This window comes from Homo sapiens, chromosome 1, assembly GCF_000001405.40.
Source record: "Homo sapiens chromosome 1, GRCh38.p14 Primary Assembly".
NCBI lineage: Eukaryota > Metazoa > Chordata > Mammalia > Primates > Hominidae > Homo > Homo sapiens.
Window position 1 is genome coordinate 70,052,838 of NC_000001.11, and position 16,258 is coordinate 70,069,095.

Consider the following 16,258-nt stretch of genomic DNA (forward strand, 5'->3'; position numbering starts at 1 on the left):
TGCTTCCAAAAAGCTTTCAATTTACAGTTCTTACCCAGTAAATAGTATATAATATTTGCAGTTCAGGATGTATGTTTTTCTGCAATTAAACAAAATTAATTTTACCATGATCATTAGGGACTCTTTTCAGAAAACTATGGTAAACTTCTACTACATCACTAAAGAATGCCATACCATTTTTGCAATAGACCCCGTCCCAGCAAAGCAACATTTTAGACAATGGACAAGAAGATGTATCTCCTAGTGGCCAATGGAATCCTTATCCACTTGGGAGGCGGGATGTACCTCCGGACACCATTACTAAGAAGGTAACCAATTTTTAATTAACAAGACAAACCATGAACCTTGCACAATCTACTGCAATATATAATAAATATTTTGTGTCTTATCATAATTTCTAAGTTTGTGATAACTTTAAGGTAAATATTATGCTACTACACGAGTTTGGTTGACTGTAAGTACATTGAAATGAATGGAAAATAAACACTGCCAACTGTTCAAAGTTGGTAATGAATGTTTACAAACAACATCCTGCAACCTCTCTACAGATACTCTTACCTCTTACCACCCACCTTTGAAAGGCACATATAGAATGATATGTGACATACTTCCGACTCTCTTGGCTTTAACAGTGTGTTGTAACCAGTTTGCTTAAAAGAAAATTTGATTCACTATTTCTAAAGTTATGACAATTGATTCAGCAAACAGTGAACAACTATATGTACATTGCTATGTGTGGAGCACTTGCTAGATATTGAGGAAACAAAAATGAAAAAGACAGTTTCTTACTTCAAGAGCCTTTTTATCTAGTAAGGTGTGCTGAGTGATAAGTAGGTAATTATAATATTACATAACAGATCCCCACAACAGGAGTAAAAAGAAAGCCACAACTTGGGATAAGATACTTGCCACATATATGAGAGAAGGGAGAATTTGTATTCTAAAATATATTTTTTAAAGCTCTTACAAATCAGTAATGAAGACATACAACACAGTTTTTTAAACTGGTAAAATACAAGGGGAATCAGGTGGGTAAATAAATACTAAAACAAAACTGAACCTTTTTATCAATCAGGGAAATGCAAAAGATATGCCATTTACATTTACTAGACTGGCAAAAATTAAGAAATCTGAAAAATACAAGTCGTTTGTAGGTATAAGAGCAATGGAAACTCTTTTAGACTTCTTATTGGAATATGAAACATTATCACTTTGGTAACAAATTTTCCTGCAAAGCTGAATATGCACATACTCGACATTCCATCAATTCTCCTCTTAAGGTATTAAACTAGAAAAATTATCATACATGTCATTCAGGGTACTTGAAATGTTTCCAATACCAGAAAACTGGGAAAAGCCAAATGTTTACCACCAGGAGAGTATGTAAATAAATTCTGTTAATTACACAAAGGAATATTTCAAAGCAATAAAAATTAGTAAACTATAATTACAATAATGTGTATTAACTTTAGAAACATAATTTGAATGGAAGAAAAAGTTTCTGGAAATGGCATACATATGTAATACCATGTTTACAAATCCCAAAACAAGCAAAACTCAAAATATATTATTTAAGCATAAGTACATAAGAAACCTATTGTTATAAGTAAATGGTAAATGTAGTATTCAGAATTGTGGTTATCTCTAAAGGTAAAGTAGGGGATGGAATCAGGGAGAAAGTGGATATTATTGCTGGAACTGTTCTAATTCTGAAATTGAATTATGGTTCTTTACACTCTACTTTTTTTTTTTTTTTTTTTTTTTTTTTTTTTGAGACGGAGTCTTGCTCTGTCGCCTAGGCTGGAGCGCAGTGGCGCGATCTCTGCTCACTTGCTCACTGCAATCTCCACCTCCCAGGTTCACGCCATTCTCCTGCCTCAGCCTCCCGAGTAGCTGGGACTACAGGGGCCTGCCACCATGCCTGGCCAATTTTTAGTAGAGACAGGGTTTCACCGTGTTAGCCAGGATGGTGTAGATCTCCTGACCTCCTGATCCACCCGCCTCAGCCTCCCAAAGTGCTGGGTTTACAGGCATGAACCACCGCTCCCGGCCTACACTCTACTTTCTAAGCTCATGAGTGTTCATTTTATAATTGTGCTTTGTAACCTACATATGTATTACATACTTACACTCTTTGTTACTTAAGTGATTTTTCTCTTGATGACCACTTCAATACTTCAAAAATGCATTAAATATCAAATTTTATTTTATCCAAAATATTTGGTAATGCCACTGATTTACAGGCATTTATTTTATGCATGTTATTAATTTGACTATTGGGTAATATTCAGCACCACAGGTAAATATAATATGATGTGGTTAATGCTAAGATGGGATACAGGGCTATGACAGTACCTGGAAAGGGCACCTGTTTAGCGAGGAAACTAAGAGCAGTGGTGTCAAATAAGACTAGAGGGATAAGCAGAAGCCGGATCATGCTGGGATTTATCCTGTGGGAAATGAGAAGGGGAATATAAAGTATTTTAAACAGAGAAAGGACATGATCAAGTTTTTATTTAAAGAGCACTCTGACAGCTTTTCAGAGAATGAATTAGTGAGGAGAAAGACTGGACGCAATGGAACTAGTTAGGAAGATTCTATAGTAATTCAGGTGAAAGTCAATGGAAACAATGGGTGGTGGAAAGATATGCTGTATTAGTCCATTCTCACATTGCTATAAAGAACTACCTGAGACTGGGTAATTTATAGAGAAAAGAGGTTTAATTGACTCACAGTTCCTCAGGCTGTATAGGAGGTATAGCTAGGAAGGCCTCAGGAAACTTACAATCATTGTGGAAGCAAAGGGGAAGCAAGCATGTCTTCACGTGATGGTAGGACAGAAAGTGAGAAGGGGGAAGTGCTATATACCTTTAAACAACCAGATCTCATAAGAACCCCATCACAAGAACAGCAAGAGGAAAATCCACTCCCGTGATTCAAACACCTCCCACTAGGTCCCTCCTTCAACACTTGGGGATTACAATTCAACATGACATTTGGGTAGGGACACAGAGCCAAACCATAACAAATTCATAGATCCAATATCATGATAAATATTAGAACCAAAACAATCTTGTGATTGGACATAGGGCATAGAGATAGATAAAAGTTCCAAGGTTGATACCCAAGCTTCTAATGTGGTCAAGTGAGTGATGATGTTCCATTCACTAAGATGGGAAATACAGAAAGAGTAATAGGTGGAATTGGAGGAAGAGAGAAGAGTTTAGGTTTTTACATGTTGATTTGAGGTAGCTTTAAGGCATCCGAGTGGAAATGTGCAGTGGATGTTTGGATATATTTATCCTAAGTTCAGTAGAGAAAACTTAGCTGGAGATTCAAATTTAGGAATCATTAGAACATGTATTATTGAGCCATGAGTGAGGTAGAAGGATGGCCCAGAACTCCATGGAACAGAACTCCATGGAACACCAACATTTAAGACATGTACAGTACATAGGAAGAATAGGCAGAAAAGAAATAATCAAAGATTAGATCAATACAGCGATTTTACTGCAAGCTGTAGAAAATTCAAGGGAAACGTTGAACTTCAAGGAAATACTTCACTAAACATAAGAAGTAGTTGAGATTTATACTATGCCTCAACTTTAGTACTTGGTTCTCTCTTATTAAATACTTAGCGTTTTATTTTCCCATTCCACTCTGCCCTCACGCTGTTGGCTCTATCCTAAAACTGGTTTCTCTCATAATTATAAGATTACTACCAATGGCGATTGGTAATATGAACTTCCTCTTTCAAATCCAGCAAGAGAGAGAAGTAAGCTTCTATTGTAGCTCTCTCTTATGTGCAAAACCTTTCTTCCCTGAGTCTTTCAACAAGCCTCATCTTACATCTCATTGACCCAAAAGAGCTAAGGACTTCCCATCCTAGAAAAAGAAACGGAGTTATATGACTGGCTTTGTCTGATCAGTTGGCGTAGAGTAGACAGGGCTCTCAATTTCAATTATGCAAGAAACATGTAAAGGAAAAACAAGGGAAAGTAACACTTTGGAAATAGTGAGGGAAAAATGTTTTAAGGAGGGAACGGTCAACTGTCAAATGATGCACAGAAACGTCAAGCAAGATAAGTATGACTAAAGGCTCCTTGGATTTAGCAACAAGGAGGTCATTGGTGATCTCAGCAAAAGCAATTTGCTTAAATGTTGGGGGGGGAATCCATAGGAATCTGCATTAAGGGGTAAGTAAAGAAACCTGTAAAACTCAAGAAAGAAGTAATGTACTAAATGTACCATGTCTTCTTCCTACTATTATGATAAGCAGGTTCTGATTATCCCATATTATAGCAATTTTGCCTAAAATCCGAGATTTCTGAACCTATAAATAGATATGTCCACCTATCACCTCTCAGAGTAGAGAGAATAAGGACCACTTTAAATATTCAAATTTAGTTTTTGTTATATATTATATATTAGTTGAATAGTCAAGTTAATATTCAGTGAGACTCAACCTAAGGAAAGAAAAATGGTCATGGGAGTATTAGCCTGGGCTGCAAAATTTACTGAAATAGATGCGATAATTATACTATTAGTTATTGGGTTTCTATTTGATTCTACAATGACATTTTTAAAAGTTAATATTATTTTTGCAGTTGTCACGGAGTGAGCAGTTAGGCTAGACATAATGGGAATGGAAAGATAGAAAGTGAACTATAAATTGAATGGGGAATCAAAGGAGAATAAGTGGTGAAGAATTCTTAGCCAGTGTCCAATTTGAGTCTATTTCTCCAAGCCTCTGTAGATTTTTTTTTTTTAATCTTGTCTCTCTAACTAAGCCATCAGAAACCACAGTAATGCTGTAGGGATTTGGAGGGAAATTATGGAAAGTCTTTGACTGAACTTGTGGCTCTCTGTTCTGGCTATCATAGATTTTTGGTTACTCATGGCCATGCCAGCCAGTACTTCAAGCACTATAGAGAACAAATGTGGGTGTCTTCCAAGCTGTGGATCCAAAACCTTAGACACATAAAGTAATTGGACAAGAAGTGTTTATTTCTCAGAATTTTGCTCCTGTATCTATTGTCCCTGTCCTGTGCACCTGAGAGTGGCAAAGTGATGGAAAAATGCCAAGAGTGTTAAATGCTGTCTTTTTTTTTTTAAGGGAGTAAAAGTAGGTGGTAGATTTTATTTCTCTCTTGCTATGCAGTCCCAGACTCACAATTTTTTTTTTTTTTTTTGGCAGAGTCTTGCTCTGTCACCCAGGCTGGAGTGCAATGGTGTGATCTCGGCTCATTGCAGCCTCCCCATCCTGGGTTCAAGTGATTCGCGCGCCTCACCCTCCCAAGTAGCTGGGATTGCAGGCATTCACCACCACGCCTGGCTAATTTTTGTATTTTTAGTAGAGACAGGATTTTGCCATGTTGGCCAGCCTAGTCTGAAACTCCTGACCTCAAGTGATCTGCCCACCTCAGCTTCCCAAAGTGCTGGGATTATAGGCGAGAGCCACTGTGCCCGGCCCAAAATCTCAAATTTTGATGTCTATTAGTATTAAAAGTTTAGGATTCACTGCTAGAAGAACATTTTATAGCTATGTAAATCTGACACCCCAAAATTCCAGGCAGTATTATATGAATACTTTAAGAACTGCTGTTTAAAACTTTTGCAATTGCTGAAAACAACCATGGTTTCAGAAGGAGAATTTGTATTTTAGAGTCTAATTACATCACTTCTGTTACTCCTACAGTCTATCGGATTATGCCACAGTCACTATAGTCAGAATATTTGGTTTCATGTATTAAATCTTTACATAAGGCATTGTGTTAAATGCTTTAATGTATTTCTTTATCTAACTTTCACAGCAACTATATGAAGTAAGCACTATTATTTTGTTAAAGAAGAAACTCATACTCAGAGGTTAGGTTACTTGCCAAGCTCACCTGGGTAACTTATCATTTTATATTTCCCTCCTATATGTAACAGAAAATAATATGAAGGTGATACTATAAAAGATAAATGCAAAAACATGTTATTTTAAATTCAGACATTGCACTCTGATTTGGTCAAATCCTCTATAGGGATGACAAGGCTGTTTTGCCCTAATTCTAAAATGATACTCTTTTAAAAGTATTAGGAGTCTTAAACACATTGAATATCCATAAAATGTTAAATTAAAGGATAATATCTGCAAGAGTATGTTAGAATGATGGAGCAGAAAAACATTGCAGCCAAAAGGCTACAGTGACATATTAAAACCAATGAAACCAAACACTTCGCTTCTGGAATGGATAACCAAGAAACTATAAAATCCTAGCATTTTAAAATCTGAAAATTCTTTAGTAACAAAAGACTAGGCATTCAAAGGTCTCCTTTAGCATCAGTGACTCTTTCCACCCTGAGTGTCTGTTCCCTCCCTGAGTGTTCTAGGTTAAGTGCATAATGACTTGGCAGTTGGAGTAATAAAGATGGATAACAAGGGTCAATATCAGGATGGACACAGAGGAAGAGGAAGGCTTTAAAAATTTGCTGATTAGTTTTGGCTCACAAACTTACCTCTTATGCTGAACTTGCCTGTGATTTTCTCACATCTACAATATCAGTTCAGCTATTAAGCACTTCAGGATTGCCAGGATTGTCATCTCTGAGACATGCCTAGGAATTTATCAGAAGAAGAAACTAGAAGAAAGTGTGTGTGTGTGTGTGTGTGTGTGTGTGTGTGTGTGTGTGTGGTCATTTTCAAGTTCTTATTATTCTTCCTTTACCCCACCCCCACCCCAACCCCAAATTGTCATTTTTGCTTTTTCTAAAATACTTTTTTAAAGATTTTTTTATTAAGTTTCTCAGGAGGAATATTCATTTCTTATTTCAATTATGGCATTTGTCATGTTTTTTAATGTAATACATTTCAATGCTTCTTTCTATAAAAATTTAGAAAGGTAAGATCTAAAATATCTTTTGAAAATCATAAATTGTTTTTCTGTCAACCATATGGCCAAATCATCATTTGTGCTTTAAAATAACTGGATCAAATTCCTACTGGGATTTTACTTGGTAATATAAGTCAGTCTATTATAAAAACTTTTCAGAAGATCAGAGTAAACCAATGTCATTTAAAATAAGTACAACTTATTTAAAAGATATTTAAAAGTACAACTTAAGAAAAATCACCTCAACCTATATATCTAGAAATTTAAATAAATACATTTTATTATTTTATAAATATCTAAAATAGATAATTATGTCCAGTTGTGGTGGCTCACACCTGTATTCCCAGCACTTAGCACTTTGGGAGGCCGAGGCAAGCGGATCACTTGAGGCCAGGAGTTTGAGACCAGCCTGGCCAACAAGGCAAAACCCTGTCTCTACTTTAAAAATGTCAAAAAAAATTAGCCAGGTGTGGTGGTGTGCGTCTGTAGTCCCAGCTACTGGGGAGGATGAGGCATGAGAATCACTTGAACCCAGTAAGTGGAGGTTGCAGTGAGCAGAGATCATGCCACTGCACTCCAGCCTAGGTGACAAGAGCAAAACTCCAACCCCACCCCCCCAAAAAAAAATCATTAAATTACAGTCACTGAAAAGTAAATTTATTGAAATTGTTTTCCACTGAAAAGAAATATTGCTATCAGTACTCTGTGTATGTAGAACTGGAATAAAAGTAACTATAATTTTTGGTTTTGTAATTTAACTGAGAATAGGCATTGTGCTGTTGAGGTCCCTTATGTCAAAAGGTTGGGGTGAATGTAGCTTATTTAAATAGAAATAGAAGAAAGTCTGAAATAGATGAGAGAGAGAGATGAGGATTTAAATATTGGAAAAAAATAGATGGCAGAAAGTAGAGTAGATCATGAGGCTGTAAGCAAGCAAGTCAAGATGTGGAAGAAGCAGATATGAAAATCAACCAGGTAAATATTACATATAAGAGATGCGGAAATAGAATTGTTTCTTATTTCCGTTAACCTCAAAGTCAAGAATATCTGTTCTGGTTTAGAGTAAAATTGAAATTGAAAAATGATTCTAAAACCTGAGTGATTGTCAATGCTGTAACTAAATTCTCCTTTTGTACAGAAGCAAATATATCAAGTAGAATTGTTTTTTGCCTTAGGCTTTGTATTTTTTCCCTCCCAAAGAAATGCATGTTGTTAACAGTGAAGAACCCCCAGGAGTTATGTCTTTACTTCATTGGTCCATAAGCAAATGAGAACAATCTTCTCCATCACTGGGAGTAATACCAGTCTCAATCATCACTTCTCTTTCCTGGTTCTCTTTCCCAAGCCTCATAAGCAAATGAGAACAATCTTCTCCATCACTGGGAGTAATTAATACCAGTCTCAATCATCACTTCTCTTTCCTGGTTCTCTTTCCCAAGCCTCATTTTTCTCCTCCGAGAGTAGCAAAGTTTTCACTGATCAGAGTTAATGTTGTTTCTGGTAGACTAGGCAGTCCCTAAAACTCAGAAACAAATTGGAGTTCCTTTCAGAGAGTCATTCTCAATTCCAAACAGCTTTCTAAATGCTAGGAAAAGGGATCTTTTGAGTCATTAGATAGATGGAGATTCTCTGTTTCCCTCATCTTGTTCCCCTACCCTCCTTTTGGTGGTGTCACTTAGAACTTTGTGTCAAGCAGTATAAAGGCTGCATTGGTTTCTGTGGTAACAGCATATTATGCTGAGGCTGCTGAGGAAAAGTAGCTTCAAGAGACAGCAGCCAAATGCATTCACTGTCAGTAAGCTCTGCCCAGAAACAAGAAATGAGTTCAGTGAAAGGCCAGATTGATTAAATCATATAATTATAATTTTTAATTTAAAAAATGTTTGGCACAATCTGTAGCCCCTGGAGAGACATTTCTTAAACAGAAATTATGCAGTTTTTCTCTTGACCAAAAGCCATTTTTTTCAGGACATAAAAAAGTGGAAAAGTAGGAAGATATCAAATGTGTCCAAATAAAAAGAGCCTTCATCTCCAGTGAGACTTTGAAAATTACCTCTAGATCTACGGAAATGCAACCATACTTTCCTTGGAGTTTTGGTATCTACTAGAAATAACCTAGAACTGAATTATTTGTGTGACTAATAAGTACCTACTCTTTAATTTCACCTCTGGTTGAAAAGGAACTTTTAAATAGTAGTTACAATCATGCCGGTCACCTGAGAGGCAGTCAACCACTGTCACACAAACATCCTCCAAGTTAGGACAGGTTAGGAGAAGGAGAGGTAGGTAGATGAAAATTATACCTTATAGAACTTTTGATTAGTGGTCATTTACTGACAACATTGTCAGGCACCTACCAAACACCAATAGGAGGCTTTTGAGATTTCTGATGCTTATATTTAGTGATATATTAGTGATATATTAAGACACCCCTTTACTTTCCCTGCCTATCAAATCTATGCCTGTATCCCTACTAAACTTGTTTTGGTATGGTCTTTATGGCAGTAACATTAGTTATTGCTCTGGAACAGAATAAAAATGCACTGTTGAGGTTGTAAAAATTGTATTGTGCAGAACAATCCAAAGAACAATTATATGAATATCTGCAGGCTCAAATCAAGTTGCACTCCTTTTACGTAACTTTGCCAGTAATCTTATTCAGGTGAATTCCATATACTCTTTTAAAACATATGCTAATTTATATATTATCATATTATTTTTTTCCAGAAAATCAATAGAGCCATGCCTTTTGCTATACTTGGGAAAATAAGACTAAATACGTCCAATTACAGTTACTGTCCCCCTAACTGCAAATTATTGATATAAGATAGAGATGGTATATACATATGTAGACTTGCTTGTTAAGAATTATCAGCCAATGCCAAATAAACCAAAGTACATGACCTGGAGGAAATCAAAAATTCCATGGAAATAAGACCTTTCAGAGGCAGCTCCATGACTTAGTAATAGAAGCTGAATCAGGAAAAAGGGTTTGAAAAAATCAATGAAATAATTTATTTAATGATCCATTTCAAATATGTATTTTGTTAATCTGAAGAGCTAGGATAATATATTTCTAATTGATTGATTTTAGTATTATTTAATTCATAGGTGTTTTTAAAGCTTACTCTATTTCTATTGTTATTAGATTTGTTCTCAGAAATAATGGGGATAGGAGGTTGTGAAAATGTGAATGGAAAAAAAATCTCTAACCTAAAGCAAAAATGACAGCTGAATAAAATATTGTTTAATTTACAGTCACTTTTGTATTGGATTTTTCTTAAGACAACATTATTCTTTAACTCACAAAGCATACCTTTATTTCCTAATACCAGTACAACAATACAACTGTCTGCAGTATTGAAGGACATCACTGTCACAAAATCGGGGATTGTCCTCATCCAGTCTCACTCTAAATTATTTCCTTAATAAAAGTGTAAAGCCAAAAATGTCTGTCAAAAAGCTATCAAGTCAGAGGTAGAAAATAAATTTGCCACAGATTAAGCAATAGGAAAACGGGCAGATTAAAGTACTTACTCCATCAATATTTGACATAGATGTTCCTTAAAACAAATGACTGTTCTTCAGAAAATTGAGATAACTCAATAGCATTTATATTGTCTTTGTTTGGGGAGAAATCTAAAAGCAAAAATGCAGAATTAATCCAATGCCATAAAAATGTTCCGGGTTGAATATGTGATGAGAAGTGATGATTGAGACTGGTATTACTCCCAGTGATGGAGAAGATTGTTCTCATTTGCTTATGGACCAATGAAGTAAAGACATAACTCCTGGGGGTTCTTCACTGTTAACTTGAAGTTCTACATAACATGACAGCTGGCAGAGATCAAGGATAGTTGCCAGATAGAGATGTCAAAATGATAAGATTCCATTTCTTGCCACTTGATCTTTGTCTGACTTACTCTACTAGCTGTAGGTTCTTAGAAATCTTAAGGGTGAAATAAATTGTTGTCAAACTTTTATCGTTACTCTTAACATCTTCCATTTTGGGAATATATGTCAGCATCATCACAAAACAAACCATAGGTTGAAAAGTGTAGACTCATCCTCAGTTTCATCATTCTGCTATTAAGGATACTCCATCGTTTTTTAATTTTGGCTAATAATTTCCTAAATCCATAGCTATGTTTTGTTGGTTGACATTTAATCATAGGAGAATGTACTTATAGAGATTCAATATGCCAGAGATGACTGCCTTTGTATATCAGCCAGCTGCTATGCTAAGACACTTACACTGAAGTGAAAGGTTCTACCACCTCACTTTTTATGTGTCATTGGAGACACTGAAGTATATTACCAGTATCTGACTCCAAAAAATTCAAGGTCAGCAAATATTTTGAATGCCCTCTAAAATTACTGCAGTGTGCCACCAGAATGAAATGTCACCAAAACCCCAGGACAGGAGAAGGAACATCTTCCTGCCCCCTTTATTTTTAGCTGCAGAGCTTCCTTCCATATATTTGTGCAAGTTTGTCTTCTGACACTGAAATGGGAGAACATAGATTTTGGCATCAAGCTGGCCTAAATACAAATAAAACAGGATGAAAAGGTTCAGCTTAATAGGTTGTTATAATCAGAAAAAGAATATCTACAGTACATACAGTAGGCACTGTACTAAGATGCTTACCTTGCAAAACACTCTCATATCATCTTCACAACTTTATGGGACCAGGAGTTAGAGGTATGAAATTGAGCGATACAGGATTGGAATCCAGTGTTGTCTGGGTATACAGCCTACTCTACCCACTAATTATTCCCCTCATATATTTTATCACACACACCCCTCCCAACAAAAAAAATCAGAAAACATTATAGCATAGCCCATTGCACTGTTAAATAACCTCAACACCAGGAATATATTTGATATATATATAGCTAGTACTTTTTGGCACTGCTTGGTATTTTGTTGTTGTTGTTGTTGTTGTTGTTGTTGTTACATTTTCAAAAGAGAGAAACTCATGCACTAGTCACATTTTTTAAAGAATTTTTTAGTCCTCTTCAATTTGTTTTTATTGGTCTATGCAAATCAAAATTTTTAGAGATTTTGAAATGCATCTGTTTTCCAAACCTTCATGTTCTTTAATATGAAACATTTACAAGTTCTTTAGTGACCTTTGTGAATCTCAGAACAAAAAGAATTAGGAGCACTAAGCACAACTTAAACTTTAAAAGTTCTCTTAAGCACTAGAGGCCTTTTCTTCATATTGAATTTAGTTCATTTTGTTAATTTTGTTTCTCAATAACATAGTACATCAAACTTCTTGAGTATATTCTCTGCAATTTCTGTTAACCCTTCTTGGTTGATGCTGTCACCGTTTTCCACAAAATAACCTGAGTCCTGTCACCAAAACTACCTGTGAAAATGATACAACTGCACTGAATATTGACACGTCCAGCAAAATGATAATTACACTAATACAGGGTACCTTGCATAGGTGATACACTAAACTATGTAGTAAACTGTAATACGAAAAAAACTCAGCTTTTCTTTTAGTTCTTACTAAGATCTTGTCTTTTGTTTCCTTTTAAGCAAAAGTTCAGGAGAAATGTTCACCTTAACTTTGTCTTTATTGGCCCTTGAGCATATTAAACTTTGCTTCTCAGTTTTCCCATCTAAGAGGAAAGGATGATGATGCTTATCTTATAGAGTGGCTTTGAAAATTAACCATGATTATGATGTAAAATACTTATCACAGTGCCTGTTATGTAAGTGTTTAATTAATGGTAGCTATCATAATATTTATTATTTTGGATAAAAATCTATGTGAATTATGGATAAGCTAACTTTCATTTAGCTTTGTTCCTAACAATAGGTTGTTAATGAGACCAAAGTCATGAGTTAGCATCTCTTTGAATTAGTTATCCATGAATACAGACTCCTCTCTTTACCTAGATGGTTGTATTAAAAACATATACAATGATGGGGATGGAAATATCTAGGGGTGAAAAAACAAAGATGAATCACAGCAACCTAAAATATTAGTCATGTTAATAGTGCAGAGTAAGTAGTATCATCTTGACTTATGGCAGAATGTATTTAGTCCGTTATTGTATATTCTGTCCCCATCCATAAAAGAGGCCACATCTCAACATCTGAAACAAAATGCATAATTTACTGCTTGCATACAAATAACTTGCAAGGTACAACCACTCTGAGCTAAATAGGATTTGAAGAAGCAAGGAGTTGAGTGACTGGTGGATGTTCAGAAGTTAGAATATTTAGGAGTTAGTTGGCAAAACTTTCATTGGGAGAAGCATGGTTACTTGACTCAGACTGTTGCTGACTGGTTGACCTTCAAGTGCAGTTTCTAAAGCAAGTTGTTACTGATTGATTACAACAGGTTTAAAATCATTTTTTTCCAGTGGTTATTTATTGCTATGGCCAGACAGTTAGACCTTCACTCTGCAGATAGGAACTTTTGTTCTCATTGCCATTAGAGTGCTATATCTCCAGCAATACACTCAGTGTATTGCATTATCTTCTTTAATCTTCACCACTTTCTCTTAAGCACTAATTATTATATCTGCATTTTCATCTGATAAGCAGAAATCTTAGGTACCTTGCATAAGATTGCATAACTAAAAAGTGACAAAGCAAGGAATAAAACTCAGGTTCATTTGACTCCAAAGACTATGTTATCTGTACTGCATGTATAATTATTTTTTAATTAACTCCTGGCATTTCTATAACCCCCTTCATTTATTTAATTTTGCCATTTCAAGAATGCTATGTAAATAGGGTCTGTATGTATGTAACCTTTTGGGATTGGCTTTTCCAGCATACTTCTCTGGAGATTCATTCAGGTGTTGTATGTATCAATAGTTCTTTCCTTTTTATTGCTGCATAGTATTCCATAGTATGGATATATCACAGTTCGTTTATCATTTACCTATGGAAGGATATCTGGGTTATTTTCCATCTATGGCTACTATGAAGAAAATTGCTATAAACATCTGTGCGCACCTTTTTGTGTGAACCTAAGTCTTCATAAGTCTCTGGGATGAATGTCCAGGAATACAACTGCTGGATCATATGGTACTTGCATGTTCAATTTGTAAAGAAACTACCAAACATTTTTCCAGAGTGGCTCTACCATTTGACATTGCCAGCAGCAATATGTGAGTAATTTAGTTTTTCTTCATCATCTCCTGCATTTGGTGTTGGCACTGTGTTTTGTCTTAGTCATTCTGTTAGGTGTGTAGTGATATATACACTTACTGAAAATTAACTCAGATTATGAGGTGAATTATGCAAACATTGTGGTTTTAATTTCAATTTCCATAATGACTAATAACGTTGAACATCTTTTTATGTACTTATTTGCCTCCATCTGTATATCCTCTTTGGTAAAATGTCTCTTCGCATCTTTTGCCCATGTTCTAAATGGATTGTTTAGCTTTTTACCATTGAGCTTGAGAGTTGAGAGTTCTTTATATATTCTAGGTACTATCCTCTATCAGATACATGATTTACAAACATTTTCTCCAACTCTGTAGCTTGACTTTTTTTTCATTCTTTTAGCATTTAACATTTAAGTCTGTGATCTATTTTGAGTTAATTTTGATATAAGATTTGAGACATAAGTCAAAGTTCATTTATTGTGCTTGTGGATGTCAAACTGGGCCAGCACCATCTGTTGCAAAGATTCTTTCCTACATTAAATTGCATTTGCATCTTTGTCTCAAATCATTTGGACATATTTTTGTCAATCTATTTATCAGTTCTCTGCTCTATTTCATTAGTCTATGTGTCTATCCCTCTGCAAATACAGTAACACATGGTCTTTCTTGATTACAACTCTAATAAACTTCAAATCAGATAGACTGATTCCTCTCACTCTATACTTCTTTTCCAAACTTGTTTTAGCTATTCTAGATTCATTGTCTTTCTGAATTTTAGGATAATCATATGTATTTAGAGATAAATCTTGCTAGAATTTTGATAAGAATTAAACTGGTATATCAATTTGGAGAGGATCTTTACTTTTTAAGTCTTTCATTCCATAAGTATAGTCTGTCTCTCCACTTATTTAAATCTTCTTGGATATCTTCATCAGCATGTAAGTATAGTTTTCAGCTTATAAGTTTTATACAAGCTTTGCTTAATTTGTACCTAAGTATTGCATTTTTTGAATGATTATACATGGTATTGCATTTTAAATTTTGGTGTCCATGTGTTCATTGCTAGCATACATAAATACACTTGATTTGTGTATGTTTATCTTGTATCCCATGACCTTGCTAAACTCACTCATTAGTTTTAGATTTTTTGGTTGTTGATTCTTTTGAATTTTCTATCTAGACAGTGTCATCGTAAATAAGAACAGCTTCTTTTTTCTTTTCAATCTTCATGCATTTTACTTCCTTTTCTTCCATTATTTCACTGACTACAACTTTCAGCACTATGCTGAATAAGAGTAGTGAGAGTGTACATTTACGTCTGCTCCTGATCTTAGTGGTAAAGCATTTGGTTTTTTCCCATTAAGTATATTAGCTATACATTTTTGTAGATGTTCTTTATTGAGTAGAGGAAGTTTCCCTCTATTCCTATTTCTCTGAACACTTTCATCATGAATGGATGTTGAATTTTGTCAAATACTTCTTCTGCTTCCATTGATATGATCACGATTTTTCTTCTGTAGCCCATTCATATGGTGCATTACACTGATTGATTTTCAAATATTGAACAAGCTTTGTATCACTAGAATAAACATCTCTTGGTCATGGTATATCATTCTTTTTATATATTGCTAAATTTTCATTGCCAATATTTTATTAAGGATTTGTGCATCTATATTCATGATGGATATTGGTTTATAGTGGTTTTTTTCTTCCCTACTTCCTTCCTCTGTTTCTTTCTTCCTTTATTTGTTTGTTTTGTTTTTTTATTTTTTTGGTATCAGGGTAATATTCGTTTCATAAAATAAAGAAGTATTCTCTCTTCTGTTTTCTGAAAGCGATTGTGTAGAATTGGTATGAATTTTTCTTTTTTCTTTTTTTGAAACAGTCTCATTCTGTTGCCTAGGCAGGATTGCAGTAGTACAATCATAGCTCACTGTACCCTTGAACTCCTGGGCTCAATGATCCTCCTACCTCAGCCTCTCGAGTAGCTAAGACTGCAGGTGTGCACCACCACAGTGGCTAATATTTTATTTTAAAATTTTAGAGATGGAGTCTTACTGTTTTGCCCAAGTTGGAGAATTCTTATTTAAATATTCGGTAGAAATGTCCAGTGAAACCATCTGGGCCTGGATATTTTTTTCCTGGGAGCTTTAAATTACAGGTTTTATTTCTTGATAGTTGTAGGGCTGTTCAAGTTATCTATATTTTATATTGGATGAGTTGTGGTAGTTTGCTTT

General features: G+C 35.0%; 1 protein-coding gene across 6 annotated transcripts in view; it reads left to right on the forward strand.

The window, feature by feature from the left end:
- Positions 1-16,258, forward strand: part of LRRC7 (leucine rich repeat containing 7) — a 576,443-nt gene that overhangs the window by 484,916 nt on the left and 75,269 nt on the right. For 5 of the 6 annotated variants that reach the window (NM_001330635.3, NM_001370785.2, NM_001366838.3 and 2 more), the window contains one exon: positions 189-308. The exons of the other annotated variant lie outside the window; for it this stretch is intronic. In NM_001330635.3, the coding sequence (NP_001317564.1) occupies positions 189-308 (120 nt within the window). The remainder of the gene's footprint in view (positions 1-188; positions 309-16,258) is intronic. 6 annotated transcript variants of the gene reach the window in all.